This window comes from Homo sapiens, chromosome 14 (genome assembly GCF_000001405.40).
Source record: "Homo sapiens chromosome 14, GRCh38.p14 Primary Assembly".
NCBI classification, from domain to species: Eukaryota; Metazoa; Chordata; class Mammalia; order Primates; family Hominidae; genus Homo; species Homo sapiens.
Window position 1 is genome coordinate 39,459,124 of NC_000014.9, and position 20,563 is coordinate 39,479,686.

Consider the following 20,563-nt stretch of genomic DNA (forward strand, 5'->3'; position numbering starts at 1 on the left):
TCATATTTTTAAAACAATTTATTCTGCAAAAATTTCTTGAGCACGTTTTTGTGTGTCAAGTGCTTTATTGGTGCTAGAGATTCAATAATGAACAAAAAGGACAAAATCCCTGTGTGATGGAACTCTATTATTTGCTTCCTGACATTAATTGAAATGACTTAGTGTTTTATTGTTTAGTATATTTTCTGTAGGCTGTGGTGAATAGACTATCATATTTATATAGTTTTCTTTTAGGCCTATATTTCTTAAAGTTTTTATTAGGAATAACTGCTGAATTTTATTTGACTTGTTTTCATCAGCTGATAATATGATAATCTGGTTTGTCTTTTATTGCTTTTTATGGATTATTGATTTTAAAAATTGTTCTCTAATCAAGTATTATTCATTTAGTATTAAGGCAATATGTCTTACTTGATACTGTGTACTTAGCATGCTAGTTACTATCTTTAATTAACAAGTATCATGGATTGTGTTTTCCAAAAATGAACACAACCATAACTCCTATTCCACTGGGTTTTCTTACAGTATAACTTTGAACTTTTTATATTGAGAGGTAGCGTTTTTATACTGAGAGGTAGCGTCTCTGTTCTCTCTCCTTGAATCTGGGTGGGAGTGTGACTATAGCAGAAGTGGCACTATGTGATTTCCAAGACTATATCATAAATGATGATATAGCTTCTCTTCTTGGATACATGGTTTGTGGAACTTAGACACCATTATGTGAGCAAGTCCAAAGAGCCCATGGAGAGGCCATATGTAGGTATTAATACTGACAGTCCCAGCTGAGAGCCCAGCTTACAGCTACATCAACCACCAGTCATATGAATGAATGAACTTCTAGGTGATTTCAGCTCCCAGCTCTTGAGTCACTTTCAGCCTTCAAGTGTTCCCACCTGAGGCCCCAGACATTGTGAAACAGAGATAAGCCAACCTGCTGTACCCTTTCCGAATTCCTGACTCACATAATCTGTGAGACCCACAGTGAAATGGTGGTTGCTTTATGTTTTAAATTTGGGATGGTTTTTATATGGTAATGAGTAACTGAAACAAGAAAAGGACAATTTATATACAAAATTAATAATTTTCCCCTCATTTTTATATAACACACATTAACTGTATTATGCAATCATCTGTAACAATACTGCCAACTTCATGTGGTGCAAAGAGTATCTGGAGTCAGCTGAGCAAGATTCAGGTTACAGAACAACAGTAAAATATGTGTTTTATTTTGAGAAGTTCAAGTAATCTCTCCAAGTTTGCTTTTCTTTAAAATGGTGAGGAATATTATCAACATAACTTGATAATGATGTTAATGTAGAACAAGTAGTCATCAGTGAGTATTTTAAAGAGTCATTTGAGATTTTCAGTACACAAATATAATCAATTACAGGTATTTTGTTAACAAAACCTTAATATTAATACAGAATGTGCTAAACTAACAGGCAAACAGGAACACCATAAAACTGTAATTCTTCTCCCTTTCTCCCATAATCAGTACTAGAGGCTGGTCATTATTTTAATAAGGAACAGATTGTAAGCCCATTCATTTGCATATGGACTTTTGATACCTCCTTTTAAGACTTCCATATACCTTCTTTGTATCCTTTCTAATTTATAGACATTAATGGTCCTAGCTATGTATTTGGTATGTAACAGTTAATAGACATTAATAGTCCTATCTATCTATTTGATATGTAAAAGTTAGACAGATTGTTATTTTCAAAAGCTGTATTCAGGAAGTCTTGGCAGGTATATAGAGGTATTTACTTGCTATATATAGCATAGAAATAATAAAATTTTTCCCTCAGTGAGGTTTCTTCACCAGGATAATAAAATTTCCCATCACTGAAAATTGAGTATGCCTTTATTTTTAATTACTTTTAAAATAAATATAACCATCTTTATTTTTATATAATGCATTAACTTGATCATATCTTTCATGTTTATTTTTCAGAGCAAAATTTCCCCTCCATTTTCCTCATCTCTTCCTTTTTCCTTTGCTTTCTTCTGCCCTTTCTCTCCTCACTTCATAATCCATATTAACAACCAGAGTGTGTCTTTCCCTATTTTTCTTTATGCATATACAATCATAATGAGAGTGAAAGGTGATACATATGGTGGTTAAAACAGACTCTGTAAACTTCATTTACAGTACAGTGGTTATTGTTTTTACAAAAATAAAATTATTTCTGTGTACCTTTCTGCATCTTGCATTTTTTTTTCAACAATATTTCATTAAATCCTGCCAAGATATGGTTTAGCTCTGGTTCATTGTTTTTAAAGGCTACCTAATATTCCCTGGTATAGGCTGGTGTAGGGAATATTATGTAGGCTTTAAAATCACCTGGTGTAGGGAATATCATGTAGGCTTTAAAATTTAAATTTAAATTCCCCTGGTATAGGGAATATTATGTAGGCTTTAAAATCACCAATTCTTCTTTCTTGTATGTATGTCCTCAAATGCTGGGGCTTGTATTTCAGTTGTATAGATTTCTAGGAAAGGGGTGTTAGATAGGAATGTATCTGTAATTAATTAATTAATTAATTAATTTTTTGAGATGGAGTTTTGCTCTGTTGCCAGGCTGGAGTGCAGTGGCACAATCTTGGCTCACAGCAACCTCTGCCTCCCGGGTTCAAGTGATTCCCCTGCCTCAGCCTCCCAAGTAGATGGGACTACAGGCGTGTGTCACCATGCCAGCTAATTTTTGTGTGTGTGTGTGTGTTAGAGATGAGGTTTCATCATTTTGCTCAGGATGGTCTCGATCTCCTGACCTCGTGATCTGCCCGCTTCAGCCTCCCAAAGTGCTGGGATTACAGGTGTGAGCCACCACGCCCGGCTGTAATTTAATTTTTAATAGATTGCAAGATTGCTTTCCAAAAATTCTGTAATACTTCACATTGTCACTAGCAATGTAGGAGAACCGTCTTACACATATCCCACCATTTTAGGTTTTATAGGTCTTTTTAATTTTTACCAATCTGACAGGTATAAAGGGATTTCTCATTGCTTTATTTTGTATTTCTCTATCAGTGAGTTGAGTTTCTTTTTTTCTTTTTTTCACAATTCACACAGATATTTAATATAATACATCCATTTACTAGAGTTAATGTAGTAAATTACATACCTTATGATAAAAGTTCAAATTCCTAACATAAATCTTTTTATATTTTAAGAGGTTTAAATTGGAAAAAGGACTCATTGGTGTTTTTTTTTTCATTTTACACTTTTTAATTCTTGTGGCTACATAGTAGTTATATATATTTATAGGTTACATGAGATATTTTGATACAGGCATGCAAGGTGTAATAATCTCAGCAGGGTAAATGGGGTATCAAGCATCTCAAGCATTTCCCCTTTGTGTTTCAAACAATCCAATTATGTGCTTTTAGTTACTTTAAAATGTACAATTACGTTTTTTTTGTGCTATAGTCACCCTGTTGTGCTAGGAAATTGGAGTTCTTATTCATTCTGTCTATATTTTGTACCCATTAACCATCCCCATTTCTCCCCCATACCTCCTCACTATGCTTCCCAACCTCTAGTGACCATCATTCTACTCTCTAGCTCCATGAGTTCAGTTATTTTAATTTTTAGGTCCCACAGATAAGTGAAAACATGCAATGTTTGTCTTTCTGTACCTGTCTTATTTCACTTTACGTAATAACCTCCAGTTCCATCCTAGTCGTTGCAAATGACAGGATCTCATTCTTTTGTGTGGCTGAATAGTATTCCATTGTGTGTATGTACCACATTTTCTTTATCTATTTGTCTGTTGATGGATGCTTCCAAATTTTGGCTATTGTGAATAGTACTGCAATAAACATGGGAGTTCAGATATATCTTCGATATACTGATTTCCTTTATTTTGGGTATAAACCTAGCAGTGGGATTGCTGGATTATATGGTAACTCTATTTTTAGTTTTTCAACAAACCTTCAAACCGTTCTCCATAGTGGTTGTACTAATTTACATTCCCACCAACAGTATATAAGGGTTCCCTTTTCTCCACATCCTCACCAGCATTTGTTATTAACCTGTCTTTTGAATAAGAGCCATTTTAACTGGTGTGAAATGATATCTCATTGTAGTTATGATTTGCAGCTCTCTGATGATCAGTGCTGTTGAACACTTTTTCCTGTTTAACATTTGTATATCATCTTTTGAGAAATGTCTATTCAGATCTTTTGCTCATTTTTAACCAGAGTATTAGATTTTTTTTCTATAGAGCTGTTTGAGCTTCTTATATATTCTGGCTATTAATCCCTTGTCAGATAGGTAGTTTGCAAATATTTTCTCCCATTCTGTGGGTTGTCTCTTCATTTCCTTTGCTGTGCGGAAGCTTTTTGACTTGATGTGCTCTCATTTTTTCATTTTTGCTTTGCTTGCCTGTGCCTGTGGTGTATTACTCAAGAAATTTTTGTTCATTCCAATATCCTGGAGAGTTTCTTCAGTGTTTTCTTGTAGGAGTTTCAAAGTTTGAAGTCTTAGATTTAAATCTTTAATCCATTTTGATTTGATTTTTGTGTATGGTGAGAGATAGGGGTCTAGTTTTATTTTTCTGCATATGGATATCCATATGTTTTCCCAGAACCATTTATTGAAGAGACTGTCCTTTCCCCAATGTATATTCTTGGCACCTTTGTCAAAAGTGAGTTCACTGTAGATGTATGGATTTATTTCTGCGTTCTGTATTCTGATCCACTGTTCTGTGTATCTGTTTTCATGCCAGTACCATGATGTTTTGATTACTATAGCTCTAGTATAATTTGAAGTCAGATAATTTGATTTCTCCAGCTTGTTTTTTTTGTTCAGGATAGCTTTCGCTACTCTGGGTCTTTTGTGGTTCCAAATAAATTTTAGAATTGTTTTTTATATTTCTGTGAAGAATGTCATTGGTATTTTGATAGGGATTACATTGAATCTGTAGATTGCTTTGGGTAGTATGGACATTTTAACAATATTGATTCTTCTGTGAACATGGAATATCTTTATTTTTTGGTGTCCTTTTCAGTTTCTTGCATCAATATTTTATAGTTTTCATTGTAGAGATCTTTCACTTCGGCTAATTCCTAAGTATTCTGTTTTATTTGTAGCTATTTTAAGTGGTATTGATTTCTTTTTCAGATTGTTTTCTATTGACACATAAAAAAGCTACTGATTTTTATATGTTTGCATCCTGCAACTTTCTGAATTTGTTTATAATTTCTAATAGTTTTTTTGGTGGAGCTTTTGGGTTTTTCCAAATATGAGATCATATTATCTGCAAACATGGATAATTTGACTTCTTCCTTTCCATTTGGATGCCCTTTATTTCTTTCTCTTGCCTGATTGCTCCAGCTAGGACTTCCAGTACTACGTTGAATAACAGTGGTGAAAGTGGGCGTCCCTGTCATGTTCCAGATCTTAGAGGAAAGGCTTTCAGTTTTTTTTTTCAGTATGATACTAGCTGTGGGTCTGTCACATATGGCTTTTAATGTGTTGGGGTATTTTTCTTCTATACCCAGTTTTTTGAGGGTTTTTATCATGAAGGGATGTTTAATTTTATCAAATGCTTTTTCAGCATCAATGGAAATGATCATATGGTTTTTGTCCTTCATTCTGTTGATATGATGTAGCACATTGATTAATTTGGGTTTGTGTGTGTTGAACCACTCTTGGTCCTTGTTCTTGTTTTATCCCTGTGATAAATCTCACTTGGTCATGATGAATTATCTTTTTTACGTGCTGTTGAATTCAGTTTGCTAGTATTTGTTGAGGATTTTTGTATTACTGTTAATCAGTGATATCAGTTTGTAGTTTTCTTTTTTTGCTGTGTCTTTGTCTGGTTTTGGTATTGGGGTAATCCTGTCTTCTTAGAATGAATTTGGCAGTACCCTTTTCTATTCTGTTTTTTGGAATAGTTTGAGTAGGATTGATACAAGTGCCTCTTTAGATGTTTGGTGGAATTCATCAGTGAAGCCATCAGATTCTAGGCTTTTCTTTACTAGGAGAATTTTATTACAGCTTCAATCTCATTACTTATTATTAGTCTCTTCAGATTTTGGATTTCTTTATGCTTCAGTCTTGGTTAGATTGTATGTATCTAAGAATTTATCCATTTTTTTTCCTAGATTTTCCATCTTATTTTCATATGGTTGGTCATAATAACCACAAATGATTCTTTGAATTTCTGTGGTATCAGTTGTAACAGCTCCTTTTTCAGCTGTGATTTCATTTATTTGGGTCATCTCTCTCTGTTTTTTTTTTTTTTTACCTTGGCTAAAGATTTACCAATTTTGTTTAACTTTTCTAAAAACCAACTCTTTGCTTCATTAATCTTTTTTTTTCATTTCAATTTCATTTATTTCTGCTGTGATCTTTATTATTTCTTCAACTAATTTCAGGTTTGGTTTGTGTTTGTTTCTCTAGTTCTTTAAATGCATCATTACGTTGTTTATTTGAAGTCTTTCTTCTTTTCTGATGTAGGCACTTGTAACTATAACCTTCCCTCTTAGTACTGCTTTTGGTGTATCCCATAGGTTTTGGTATGTTGTTTCTATTATCATTTGTTTCCAGAAATTTCTCAATTTCCTTCTTAATTTCTTCATTGACACACTGGTCATTCAGGAGCATGTTGTTTAATTTGCATGTGTTTGTATAGTTTCCAAAATTCCTCTTGTTGTTGATTTCTAGTTTTATTTTATTGTGGTCAGAAAAGATGCTTGATATTATTTCAATTTTTTGAATGTTTTAAGATTTGTTTTGTGACTTAACATATGGTCTGTTCTTGAGAATGATCCATGTGCTAAGGAAAAGAATGTGTATTCTGCAGCCTGTGGATGAAATGTTTTGTGAATATCTATGAGGTCCATTTGTTCTGTGGTGCAGATGAAGTCCGATGTTTCCTTGTTGATTTTTTTTTTTGGTCTAGAAGATCTGTCTTATGCTGAAAGTGGGGTGTTGAAATCTCCACATATTTTTGTATTGGGGCCTATTTCTCTCTTTAGCCCTAATAACATTTGCTTTATATATCTGGGTGCTCCAGTGTTGGATGCATATATATTTGCAGTTGTTATATCCTCTTGCTGAATTGACCTCTTTATATAATGACCTTCCTTGTCTCTTCTTACAGTGTTTGTCTTGAAAACTATTTTGTCTGATAAAGGTATAGCTACTCCTGTTCTTTTTTGCCTTCTATTGGCATGGAATATTTTCCCCATCTCTTCATTTTCTGTCTATGTGTGTCCTTATAGGTGAAGTGTGTTTCTTGTAGGCAACAGGTCATGGCCTTGTTTTTTCATCCATTCAGCCACTGTCTTTTGATTGGAGATATTAGTCCATTTACATTCAACATTATTATTGATAGTAATATTAAAAGACTGATACATTCTTATTCTTGCTATTTTGTTATTTATTCTCTGGTCGTTTTGTGGTCTTCCTTCTTTCCTTCCTTCCTGTCTTTGTTTTATTGAAGGTGATTTTCTCTGGTGGTATGATTTAATTTTTTGTCTTTTATTTTTCCTATATCTGTTGTATGGTTTTTGATTTGAGGTTATCATGAGACTTGCAAATACTATCTTATAAACCATTATTTTAAGCTGATAACAACTTATCAATGTTTGCATAAACAAATAAGCAAAAAGAAAACTAATAAAAACTCTACACCTTAACTTTGTCTCTCACTTTTTAACTTTTTGTTTTTCTTATTTGTATCTTACTGTAGTGTCTGTCTTGTAAAGTTGTAGCTATTATTTTTGATTGGTTTATCTTTTAGTGTTTCTACTTAAGAGTAATTTACATACCACAGTTATAGTGTTATAATATTCTGTGTTTTTTTCTATGTACTTACTCTTACCAGTAAGTTTTGTGCCTTCAGATGATTTCTTATTGCTCATTAATATCCTTTTCTTTTTGATTGAAGTATTCCCTTTAACCTTTTTTTTGTAGGACAGTTCTGGTTTTGATGAAGTCCTTCAGCTTTTGTTTGGGAAAATCTTTATTTCTCCTTTATGTTGAAGGATGTTTTCCTGGATATACTATTCTAACAAAAAATTTTTTTTTTCCTTCAGCACTTTGAATACGTCATGCCACTCTCTGCTAGCCAATAGGGTTTCCACTGGAAAGTCTGCTGCCAAATGTATTGGAGCCCCATTGTATGTTATTTGTTTCTTTTCTCTTGCTGCTTTTAGGTTCTTTTTTTTTCTTTTTTTCTTTTTTTTTTAAATCTTTGGCCTTTGAAAGTTTGATTATTAACTGCCTTGAGGTAGTATTCTTTGGGTTAAATCTGCTTGGTCTTCTATAATCTTCTCATACTTGGATATTGATATTTTCCCCTAGGCTTGGGAAGTTCTCTGTTATTATCCCTTTCAATAAAGTGTCTACCTCAATCTCTTTCTCTACCTCCTCTTTGAGACCAGTAACTCTTAGATTTGCCCTTTTGAAGCTGTTTTCTAGATATTGTAAGCATGCTTTTTTTTTATTCTTTTGTCTCCTCTGTGTGTTTTCAAATAGCCTATCTTCAATCTCACTAATTCTTTCTTCTGCTTGATCAATTTTGCTATTAAAAGACTCTGATACATTATTCAGTATGTCAGTTGGATTTTTTACCTCCAGTACTTTGGCTTGATTCTTTTTAATTATTTAAATCTCTTTGTTAAATTTATCTGATATAATTCTGAATTCCTTCTCTGTGTTATCTTGAATTTCTTTGAGTTTCTTCAACACAGCTATTTTGAATTTTTTCTCTGAAAGGTTTCATATTTGTGTTTCTCCAGGATTGATGTCTGGCACCTTATTTAGTTGGTTTGCTGAGGTCATGTTTTCCATGGGTGGTGGTGATGATTGTAGATGTTCGTCAGGCATTGAAGAGTTAGGTGTTTACTTATAGTCCTTGCAGTCTGGGCTTATTTGTGCTTGTCCTGCTTGGGAAGGCTTTACAGGTATTCAGAATGACTTGGGTGTTGTGATGTAAGCTGTATCTCCATTAGGGGGCACCCCAAGGCCACTAATGCTGTGGTTCTTGTAGATTTGTATAGGTACTACTTTGCTGGTCTTGGTTAAGATCCAGGACATTTCTCTAGATTACCAGGCAGATACTCTTGTTCTCTTCCTTTATTTTCTCCCAAACAAAAGTAGTTTCTGTCTCTGCGATGAACTACCTGTGGCTGGGGATGGGGGTGACACAAGCAGCTCTGTGACCACCACTGGGACTGCACTGGGTCAGACCTGAAGTCAGCACAGCATGAAGTCTTGCCGAAGGCCTGCAGTAACCACTACTTGGGTGCTACCTATGTTTGCTCAAGGCTCTAGGGCGGTACAGTCAGCAGGTGGCAAAGTGGGACAGACTTGTGTCCTTTCCTTCAGGGCGGCAAGTTCCCCCAGACCCCGGGTGGGTCCGGAGGTGTCATCCATGAGCCATGTACTGGAGTAAAAAACCTTAGACATCTACCTGGTGTTCTGTTGTACTGCTGCTGAGCTGGCACTCAAATCATGAGATGCAGGCCTTCCCGCTCTTCCCTCCACTTTCCACAGGCAGAGGATCCTAACCCTGTGGACACCACCATCACTGGCCTATGAGGAGTGCTGCCAGGCTTCCACTGATGTTCACTTAAGGCCCAAGGGCTCTTCAATTAGCTTGAGGTGAATGTTGCCAGGTCTGAGACTCATCCTTCAGGGTGCTGGGATCCCCTCTGGACCAGGGCAGGTCCAGAAGTACCAACCTGGTATCTAAGGTGCACGACAAAGCTCCCTTTACTTTTCTCTGCTTTTCTCAAGCAGATGGAGTCTCTCCCCATAGCCACCACAGCTGGGAATGTGCTGTGTCTTACCTAAAGCCAGCACATCTCAGTGTCTCTCCTATGGCCCATGGAATACTACCTGGGTATTGCTGCTGATTATTCAGGGCCCAAGTGCTCTTTAGTCAGCAGGTGATGGGTCCTGCCAAAACTGGTTCCTTCCCTTCAAGGCAGCAAGTTTCCTTCTGGCCCAGGGTGTGCCTAGAAATGTCATTTGGGAGCTAGGGCCTGGAAAGGGGGCCTTACCACTGTGCCCTCTCCTACGGTGGCTGAGCTAGTATTCTAGATGCAAGACAAAGTCCTCTTTATTCTCCCCTCTCTTCGCCTCCCCTCCCCAAAAAGAAGGAGTCTCTTTCAGAGCTGTGAGCTATGCAGCCTTGATTTGGGGGAGTAGTGCAAGCACTCCCTTTGTTGCCTTGGCTGGTGTCTCAATTGGTCACATGCCCCACCCACCCCAGTACACTGCCTCTGAGGCCAGTTCAGCAGTAGGACTTGCTTAGGAATTGCTGTCATTGCAGCCTAGACTGACTTTCAAGTTTATTTAGAGCCCCAGAGCACTCCAGCCCGCCGTGGCGAGGCTTGCCTGAACTCAAATTCTGACCTCTGAGATGGGTGATTCCCCTCTGGCTATGGCTGGTCCAAGTGCTCCCTCTGTGGGTGGGCTTCAGCCAAGTACATACTGGTTCTGCTTTCTGCTATGACAGGGTAGCACTAAGTTCAATGCAATGTCTCACAATAGCTGCATCCTTCTTCCTTGAGTGCACAGATTCTCTGTGCCATGCAGCTGCTGCTGGAGGATGGGGGCAGGGAGGAGGGAGGTGTGGTGTCGGCAATTCAAGACTGTCTTTCCTACCCTTTATGGTGCCTTTCAGTAATATGAAGTGAAAACCAGGTACTGTGAGTGCTCACCTGATTTTTGCTTCTTATGAATGTACTTTTTTGTGTAAATAGGTGTTAAATTTGGTGTTCCTGTTAGGGGGATGATTGGTGCAGGATTCTATTATGCCATCTTGTTTTTTCCCCCAGTCTTTGGTCTTTTCATGTTTTCTTTTTTGTACTTGCTTTAGAATAAATTGACTATTTATATTCATTGCCTAATTTTCTATTGACTTGTATATTTTTCTTGTGAAAGGTAAGAATTCTTTATATGTTACAGTTATTAATCATTTGTCATGTATGTTCCTAATACTTTTCTTCCAAATCTATCATTTGTGTATGATCTCATTTATGATATATTTTTCAATTTTCCAATTCATTGATAAAGTTAATGATTTATACTTCTGTAGTTCCTGGTGTTGAAGTAATTTATATTCCTGGAGTATACTCTACTTGATCATATGGTAGTATTCATTTGATAAGTTGCTAGATTCTGTTTAGTTGTACTTTATTTAGGATTGCTGCATCTTTATTTGTTTTATAGATTGCATTTCTCTGGAATGACCACAGCAATATTTCCAGCCCTTGATGATCTTCTAGAACTTTGCCACTTCCCTGCATCAAGAGGTAAAATCCATTTCTATTCTCTTGAATTGAACAGCTTCAATGAATTGAGTGCTGAAGAATTAACACTCTGTGACTTCATGACTTGTTGGAAATTGTGAGGAATCTCAGGCCACATGGAGGGGCCAGTGAAGATGTTCCAGCTTATAGCCCCAGCTAAGGTTTCAACTAATAGCCAGACTCAACCACCAGGTATATGAATGAACCTTCAGATGATTCTAGTCTCCAGCCTTCAAGCTTCCCCAGTCGATGCTGAGTGGAGCAAAAAAAGGAATTATTCTCACTGAGCCCTGTCCAAATTGCAAATACCTGACAAAAATAAATATTGTTGTTTTAAGCCACTAAATTTTGGAGGAACTTGTTATGCAATCATAAAAACAGATTTTGTTATCTGGAAGTGAGTGCCATGTAACAGAAATCTAAAATGTGGTAGTGGCTGAAGCTAGACTAGACAGGATTAGGCAGGACTAGACAGAGGGCAGAAGGTGAGAGGGCCTTCAGGTGACTGTGGAAGGCTGATGGACCTCAAGGAGGCTATCAGAGAGGGTTTAGAGGAGAGTGAAAAAATATCATTGGAGCTGGAGGAAAGAGGATCATTGTTAGGTAATGACATGAAGTTTGGCCACCTTATCACCTGTGGTAATGTGAAAAGCAGAAAATGGTGATTGTCTGGCTTCTTCTTGCTGCTTATAGTAAAATGATAGGAGAGAGGTAAGCTAAAGAAATAATTGTTAAATATAAAGGAGCCAGAACTTCTTGGACTTGAAAATAAAGCTTTCTCTTTTCCAGTTTTTCCTGACGGCAGAGAATTCTAAAATTAAGAAGATTCTTTATGGAAGGAGAGCAAATCTAGGGTACTGTCATTAAAACATGGTTTATCATGAAGCCAAGGGAGTGATTGTAAAATCTTAGTTCTAATACCTCAGGAAATTTAATGTCATGCCTCACACAGACAGTAGTCTCTCTAATTATCTTAAGGACATGACATACCTTACAGATCCTCTTTATTAAAGAAAAAGTCCTTTGAGAATTTTAAGAGCATTGTCCCTCGGCACCCTTATAGGAAGCTCTAGGACTTATCTTGAAGAGATTTGTGGGTACAGGTTTTGTCTAATGGAGTGGATTATAAACAAGAAATCCACACAGTTTTTTGTTGCAAATTTTTTTTAGAGCAGTTTTAGTTTACACAAAATTAAGCTGAAAGTAGAAAGTTCCTATATTCTCCCCATTCCCCTCTCTCCCTAAAATTTCCCACACTATCAATATCCCTGACCAGAGTGGTACTTTTTTTTTTTTTTTTTTTTTTTTACCATCAATGAACCTACCTTGGTACATCATTCTCACCCAAAGTCAATAGTTGACATTAGGGTTCACTCTTGGTGTTGTATATTCTATTAATACACCAATATGTTTTGACAAATGTATAATGACACATATCCTTCATTATAGTATCATATAAGGTAGTTCCACTGCCCTCCAGATCCTCTGTGCTCTGCCTATTTATCCTTACCTTCATATCCATGACAACCACAAATCTTTTTACTAACTCTTACAGCTTTGCATTTTCCAAAATATCATGTAGTTCATGTGGTAATATACATTTGTTTCTTCCATGTCTTTTTGTGGCTTAACAGCTCGTTCCTTCTTAGCACTGAATAATATTCCAAACTCTGGATGTACCAGAGTTTGTTTATCTGTTCCTCTACTGGACAACCCTGGTTGTTCTCAGGGTTTGGCAATTATGAATGAAGCTGCCATAAACATCTACATGCAGGTTTTTGTGTAGACGTAAGTTTTCAACTCATTTGGGCATATACCAAGGAGCTTGCAATTACTGGATCATGTGGTAAGAGTGTGTTTAGTTGTGTAAGAAATTGCCAAACTGTCTTCCAAAGTGACTGTGCAATTTTGCATTTCCACCAGCAATGAATGACAGTTCCTGTTTCTCCACATCTTCACCATCATTTGGTCTTGGCAATGTGTTGGATTTTTGCCATTCTAATAGGTGTATAGTAGTATCTCATTGCTGTTTTAATTTGCAGTTTCCTAAGGACATGTGATATGGAACGTCTTTTCATATGCTTATTTTTCATTTGTATATCTTTAATGAGGTGTCTTCATATCTTTTGTCTGCTTTTTGACTGGGGAATTCATTTTCTTATTGTTGAATTTTAAGAATTCTTTGTATGGGATCTAATTAAACTAAAGAGCTTCTGCACAGCAAAAGAAACTACCATCAGAGTGAGCAGGCAACCTACAGAATGGGAGAAAATTTTTGCAATCTACTCATCTGACAAAGGCCTAATATCTAGAATCTACAAAGAACTCAAACAAATTTACAAGAAAAAAACTAACAACCCCATCAGCAAGTGGGCAAAGGATATGAACAGACACTTCTCAAAAGAAGACATTTATGCAGCCAACAAACACATGAAAAAATGCTCATAATCACTGGCCATCAGAGAAATGCAAATGAAAACCACGATGAGATACCATCTCACACCAGTTAGAATGGTGATCATTAAAAAGTCAGGAAACAACAGGTGCTGGAGAGGATGTGGAGAAATAGGAACACTTTTACACTGTTGGTGGGTCTGTAAACTGGTTCAACCATTGTGGAAGACAGTGTGGCAATTCCTCAGGGATCTAGAACTAGAAATACCATTTGACTCAGCTATCCCATTACTGGGTATATACCCAAAGGATTATAAATCATGCTGCTATAAAGATACATGCACACATATGTTTATGTGGCACTATTCACAATAGCAAAGACTTGGAACCAACCCAAATATCCAACAATGATAGACTGGATTAAGAAAATGTGGCACATATACACCATGGAATACTATGCAGCCATAAAAATGATGAGTTCATGTCCTTTGTAGGGACATGGATGAAGCTGGAAACCATCATTCTCAGCAAACTATCGCAAGGACCAAAAACCAACACCGCACGTTCTCACTCATAGGTGGGAACTGAACAATGAGAACACTTGGACACAGGAAGGGGAACATCACACACCGGGGCCTGTCGTGGGGTCGGAGGAGGGGGGAGGGAAAGCATTAGGAGATACACCTAATGTAAATGACGAGTTAATGGGTGCAGCACTCTAACATGGCACATGTATACATATGTAACAAACCTGCACGTTGTGCACATGTATCCTAAAACTTAAAATATAATAAAAAAGAAAGGAGATCAATGGTTGCCAGGGACTAGGGGGAAGGAAGAATGGGATTAACTGCATAATAGTTATAGAGTTTTATTTTGAGGTGATGAAAACATTTTAGAACTAGATAGAGATAGTGGTTGTACCATATTGTGAATGACTAATTGTAAATGTCACTTTATTGTTCACTTTAAATGATTACTTTTACATTGTGTAAATTTCAACTCAATTTTAAAAATTTAAAAATGGAACAAGGGAGAGGATTTAGAAGGTTCTAAATGCTAAAAGAAGTTAATGATAGAATTCAGGTAGTGCGTATACAGGTGTTCACTGAAATCTTTCAATTTTGCTGTATGTTTGAAATTTTTTATAATAAAAGTTCAGAGGGAAAAATGGAAAAAAAAAGAATTCTTTATATATTTAGGTAACAGTGCTTTATCAGATGTGTCTTTTGCATATACTTTTTCCAGTCAGTGGCTTTTCTTTTCTCTCTCTTGATCCACACAATTTTTTTAAAGGATTGTATCGTTTTATACTGAAAGGCATAGAGACAGTACAAAATGAAAAGATGCCTTTGACCCCAAACTTCTGCATATGGGAAGCATGCTAAGAACATGGCTATTTTTTATGAAAAAAAAATAATTTAGAGGGTAGAACCAATAGCCCAGAGTGGAGAGCCAAGAGTCACAGTGAATCATTCTTAAACAGTACAACTGAGCCCTAATCAAGTACCAGTACCTTTTGCCCAGCTTGATTTCAAGCTTTTAATGGACCAATGACTTCTGTGTCTCTCCTTTCCTCCTTTTTTTTGGGAGTGTCTATAGCAGTTATCCTGTACTTGCTCCACCATTGTGCATTTGGTGTTTGTTAAGGCAGATAATTTTTCTTTTTTAGTTTATAGCTCTTGAGATTACAAGGAACTGTACGTAAGGGGCTGTATTTGAGGAACTGTACCCAAGAAGTTCATCCATACCTGGACCTCAAGCCTCAGCCTGATGTTGTAGGTCTTGAGGGAGTGCATGAGTGTATTTTGCTGCTGTGGCTAGAGGGTGGACTGTGGTATTTTGCATTTTCCAAAACTGACCTCAGCAATATTTGTGGTCCCACATGCTCTTCTAAACTTTGTCACTTCCCAACAAGAGTTAGAGTTTATTTCCCCTCCCCCTGAACCTGGGCTGTACTTTGCACTGTTGAATAGAATGTGGTGGGAGTGAAACTATGGGACTTCCAAGGTGAGGTCATAAAAGATAGTACTGCTTCTGCCTAGCTCACTCAAGAACCCAGCCCCCATAGTGTGAGGAGGCCTAGGACAGTTACAGAAGCCATGTGTAGGTGTTCTGGCTCCAGCAAAAGTCTTATCTGACAACATCAACTACATGTTAGTGGGTGAGTATTCGTATGATTTTAGTCCCCAGACTTTGAGACACCCTAGCTGATGCTGAGGGGAGCAGAGATGAAGTATCCCCCTGAGACCTGTCCACATATTGTTGTTTTGGGTTACTAAGTATTGGAGTAATTTTTAAATATAGCCATAGTAACTGAAATAATTAGGTTCATAGTTTTTAGGTTTATTTTTATGTTAACTTTTGGTAATAAAATTATGTTGGCTTTGTGAAATGAATTGGGAAACATTTCATCTTTTTATTTGGTATGAAATAATTTAAATAACACTATAAATACCCATTCTTTAAAAGTTAGGTAAAACTCAGATTTAAAGGTTTTTTTGGGTATAATGCTATTATTACTATTGTTATTTAAAATAATGGTTACCTTTCCATTTTTTTCTTTGCTAATTAGTCATTTTGGGTCTGCTTCTTGGTTCAATTTGGATTATTTGTATTCTCTAGGAAATTGTACATTTTTCTTTATTCCTAGTCTTGCTAATATTTTTTTCCCTCTTATATTTTTAAGCAGTACCATAAAGGGTTTATTTATATTTTTAGTTAAAAAAACTCTTGGAATTATTTATCAATTCTACTACTTTTTCCCCTTATATCACCAATTACAACTGTTCATTGATCAACTCATTCACTCTTCGCTTTTCTTAAAAAAGTTCAGGTAAACATGATAATGTTTCTGCAGTTTCATTCTTCTTCGTAATGAAAGGATTTAGGGGCATAAATTTTTATCTAACTGTGGCTATTGCTGGGTTCCATACATTTTTATGTAAAGTATTTACCTTTTCAGTAGCCTCTAGAGTATTTGTAATTTTTCTCTTTGATCAAAACTTAATTTTGAAGTCATTACGATGTTTCAAGCTGTTTAAAAATTATTTGTAATATTATTGTATTATGATCAATGACTATGGCCTGTTACATGTTTACTTTGAAATATTTGTTATGTTTTACTTTGTGGAAATTTCTATAAAACTATGAGCAAATATAATTCTTTCATTAAGGAAAATAAGATTCTATACATAGGTAGAAAACAAATCTTTTTTTTTTCTATATTTTACTTTAAATTCCAGGATACATATGCAGAACATGCAGGTTAGTTACATAGGTATACATGTGCCATGGTGGTTTGCTGCATCTGTCAATCCATCGTGTAGGTTTTAAGCCCTGCAAGCATTAGGTATTTGTCTTGATGCTGTCCCTCCCCTCACCCCCTACTCCACGGCAGGCACTGGTGTGTGTTGTTCCCCTCCCTGTGTCCATGTGTTCTCATTGTTCAACTCCCACTTATGAGTGAGAACATGCAGTGTTTAGTTTTCTATTCCTGTGTTAGTTTGCTGAGGATGATGGCTTCCATCTTTGTATGTCCCTGCAAAGAACATGATCTCCTTCTTTTTATGGCTGCATAATATTCCATGGTGTATATGTACCACATTTTCTTTATCCAGTCTATCATTGATGGGCATTTGGGTTGGTTCCATGTCTTTGCTATTGTAAGTAGTGCTGCAGTAAACATACGTGTGCATGTGTCTTTATATTAGAATGATTTATATTCCTTTGGGTATATGCCCAGTAATAGGATTGCTGGGTCAAATGGTATTTCTGGTTCTAGATCCCCGAGGAATCGCCACGCTGTCTTCCACAATGGTTGAACTAATATACATTTGCACCAACAGTGTAAAAGCATTCCTATTTCTCCACAGCCTTGCCAGCATCTATTGTTTCTTGGTTTTTTAATAATCACCATTCTGACTGGTGTGAGATGGTATCGCATTGTGGTTTTGATCTGCATTTCTCTAATGATAGTGATGTTGAGCTTTTTTTCATGTTTCTTGGCCACATAAATACTGTCTTTTGAGAAGTGCCTGTTCATATTCTTTGCCCACTTTTTGATAGGGTTATTTTTTTCTTGAAATTTAAGTTCGTTGTAAATTCTGGATATTAGACATTTCTCACATGGGTAGATTGCAGAAATTTTCTCCCATTCTGTAGGTTGCCTGTTCACTCTGATGGTAGTTTCTTTTGCTGTGCTAAAGCTCTTTAGCTTAATTAGATTCTATTTGTCAATTTTAGCTTTCGTTGCAATTGCTTTTGGTATTTTAGTCATGAAATCTTTGCCCATGCCTATGTCCTGAATGCTGTTGCCTAGGTTTTCGTCTAGAGTTTTTATGGTTTTGAGTTTTACATTTAAGTCTTTAATACATCTTGAGTTAATTTTTGTATAAGGTATAAGGAAGGGGTCCAATTCCAGTTTTCTGCATACGGCTAGCCAGTTTTCCCAACACCATTTATTAACTAGGGAATGCTTTCCCCATTGCTTGTTTTTGTCAGGTTTGTCAATCAGATGGTTGTAGATCTGTGGCATTATTCCTGAGTTCTCTGTTCTGTTCTATTGGTCTATATGTCTGTTTTGGTGCCAGAACCAGGCTGTTTTGGTTATTGTAGCCTTGTAGCATAGTTTAAAGTCAGGTAGCGTGATACCTCCAGCTTTGTTCTTTTTGCTTAGGATTGTCTTGGCTATATGGGCTCTTTTTTGGTTGCATATGAAACTTAAAGTAGTCTTTTCTAATTCTGTGAAGAATGTCAGTGGTAGTTTGATGGGAGTAGCACTGAATCTATAAATTACTTTGGGCAGTATGGTCATTTTCAGGATATTGTTTCTTTCTATCCATGAGGATAGAATGCTATTTCATTTGTTTGTGTCCTCTCTTATTTCCTTGAGCAGTGGTTTGTAGTTCTCCTTGAAGAGATTCTTCATGTTCCTTGTTAGCTGTATTCCTAGGTTTTTGTTTTTTTTTTTTTTGAGACAGAGTTTGCTCTGTCGCCCAGGCTGGAGTGCAGTGGCGTGATCTCGGCTCACTGCAACCTCTGCCTCCTGGGTTCAAGCGATTCTTCTACCTCAGCCTCCTGAGTAGCTGGGACTGCAGGCATGCACCACCACGCCCGACTAATTTTTTGTATTTTTAGTAGAGATGGGGTTTCATCTGTTAGCCAGGATGGTCTCGAACTCCTGACCTCGTGATCTGCCTGCCTTGGCCTCCCAAAGTGCTGGGATTACAGGTGTGAGCCACTGTACCGGGACCATTCCTATGTATTTTGTTCTCTTTGTATCAATTGTGAATGGGAGTTCATTCATGATTTGGCTCTCTGCTTGTATATTGTCGTATAGGAATGCTTGTGATTTTTGCACATTGATTTTGTATCCTGAGACTTTGCTGAAGTTGCTTATCAGCTTAAGGAGTTTTTGGGCTGAGATGATGGGGTTTTCTAAATATAGAATCATGTCATCTGCAAACAGAGACCATTTGACTTCCTTTCTTCCTATTTGAATACCGTTTTTTTCTTTCTCTTGCCTGATTGCCCTGGCCAGCACTTCTAATACTATGTTGAATGGGAGTGGTGAGAAAGGGCATCTTTGTCTTGTGCCAGTTTTCAAAGGGAATGCTTCCAGCTTTTGCCCATTCAGTATAATGTTGGCTGTGGGTTTGCCATAAATGGCTCTTATTATTTTGAGATATGTTCCATCAATACCTAATTTATTGAGAGTTTTTAGCATGAAGCGATGTTGAATTTTATTGAAGGACTTTTCTGCATTTAATGAAATAATCATGCTCTTTTTGTCTTTAGTTCTATTTACGTGATGAATTAAGTTTATTGGTTTGTGTATGTTGAACCAGCCTTGTATCCCAGGGATAAAGCTGACTTGATCATTGTAGATAAGCTTTTTGATATGCTGCTGGCTTTGGTTTGCCAGTATTTTATTGAGTACATTTCACATCAATCTTCATCAGGGATATTAGCCTGAAGTTTTCTTTCTTTGTTGTGTTTCTGCCAGGTTTTGGTATCAAGATGATGCTGGCCTCATAAATTGAGTTAGGGAGGAGTCCCTCTTTTTCTTTTGTTTGGAATAGTTTCAGCAGAAATGGTACCAGCTCCTCTTTGTACTTCTGATAGAATTTGGCTGTGAATCTATCTAGTCCTGGTCTTTTTTTAGTTGGTAGGCTATTAACTAGTGCCTCAATTTCAGAACTTGATATTGGTCTACTCAAGGATTCGACTTCTTCCTGGTTTAGTCTTGGGAGGGTGTATGTGTCCTAGAATTTATTCATTTCTTCTAGAACTTCTAGTTTCTTCGTGTAGAGGTGTTTATAGTATTCTGTGATGGTAGTTTGTATTTCTGTGGGGTCAATGGTGATATCTCCTTTATCATTTTTTTCTTGTGCCTATTTGACTCTTCTCTCTTTTTTCTTCATTAATCTAGCTAGCAGTCTATTTTGTTAATTTTTTTTTTTAAAAACCAGCTCCTGGATTCATTGATTTTTTTTTGAAGGTTTTTTTCATGTATCTGTCTCCTTCAGTTCTGCTCTGATCTTAGTTATTTCTTGTCTTCTGCTAGATTTTTTGTTTGCTCTTGCTTCCCTAGTTCTTTTAATTGTGATGTTAGGGTATCGATTTGAGATCTTTCTAGCTTTCTGATGTGGGCATTTAGTGCTAAAATTTCTGTCTTAACACTGCTTTAGCTGTGTTCCATAGATTCTGGTACATTGTCTCTTTATTCTCATTGATTTCAAAGAACTTCTTGATTTCTGCCTTAATTTTATTATTTACCCAAGAGTCATTCAGGAAAAGCTTGTTCAGTTTGCATGTAATTGTGTGATTTTGTGTGAGTTTCTTAATCCTGAGTTCTAATTTGATTGCACTGTGGTCTGAGACACTGAAAAAC

At 36.5% G+C, this 20,563-nt stretch overlaps 2 long non-coding RNA genes across 14 annotated transcripts in view, besides 1 other annotated feature; both read left to right on the top strand.

Annotated features, from left to right (window-relative positions):
- The window catches only part of LOC105370461 (uncharacterized), a 433,650-nt gene that overhangs the window by 26,775 nt on the left and 386,312 nt on the right, over positions 1–20,563 (top strand). For all 13 annotated transcript variants that reach the window (XR_001750723.2, XR_007064121.1, XR_007064122.1 and 10 more), the window contains exon 2: positions 11,195–11,277. This is a non-coding gene — a long non-coding RNA (uncharacterized LOC105370461). The remainder of the gene's footprint in view (positions 1–11,194; positions 11,278–20,563) is intronic.
- Positions 9,150–9,219: an enhancer, noted in NCBI's record as "active region_8291". NCBI's record gives its function as "activates an Ori minimal core promoter by ATAC-STARR-seq in GM12878 lymphoblastoid cells {active_cell/tissue: GM12878}" and the evidence as "EXISTENCE:reporter gene assay evidence [ECO:0000049][PMID:35858748]".
- Positions 15,717–20,563, top strand: part of LOC105370460 (uncharacterized) — a 39,079-nt gene continuing 34,232 nt past the window's right edge. The window contains exon 1 of the long non-coding RNA XR_001750731.2: positions 15,717–15,832. This is a non-coding gene — a long non-coding RNA (uncharacterized LOC105370460). The remainder of the gene's footprint in view (positions 15,833–20,563) is intronic.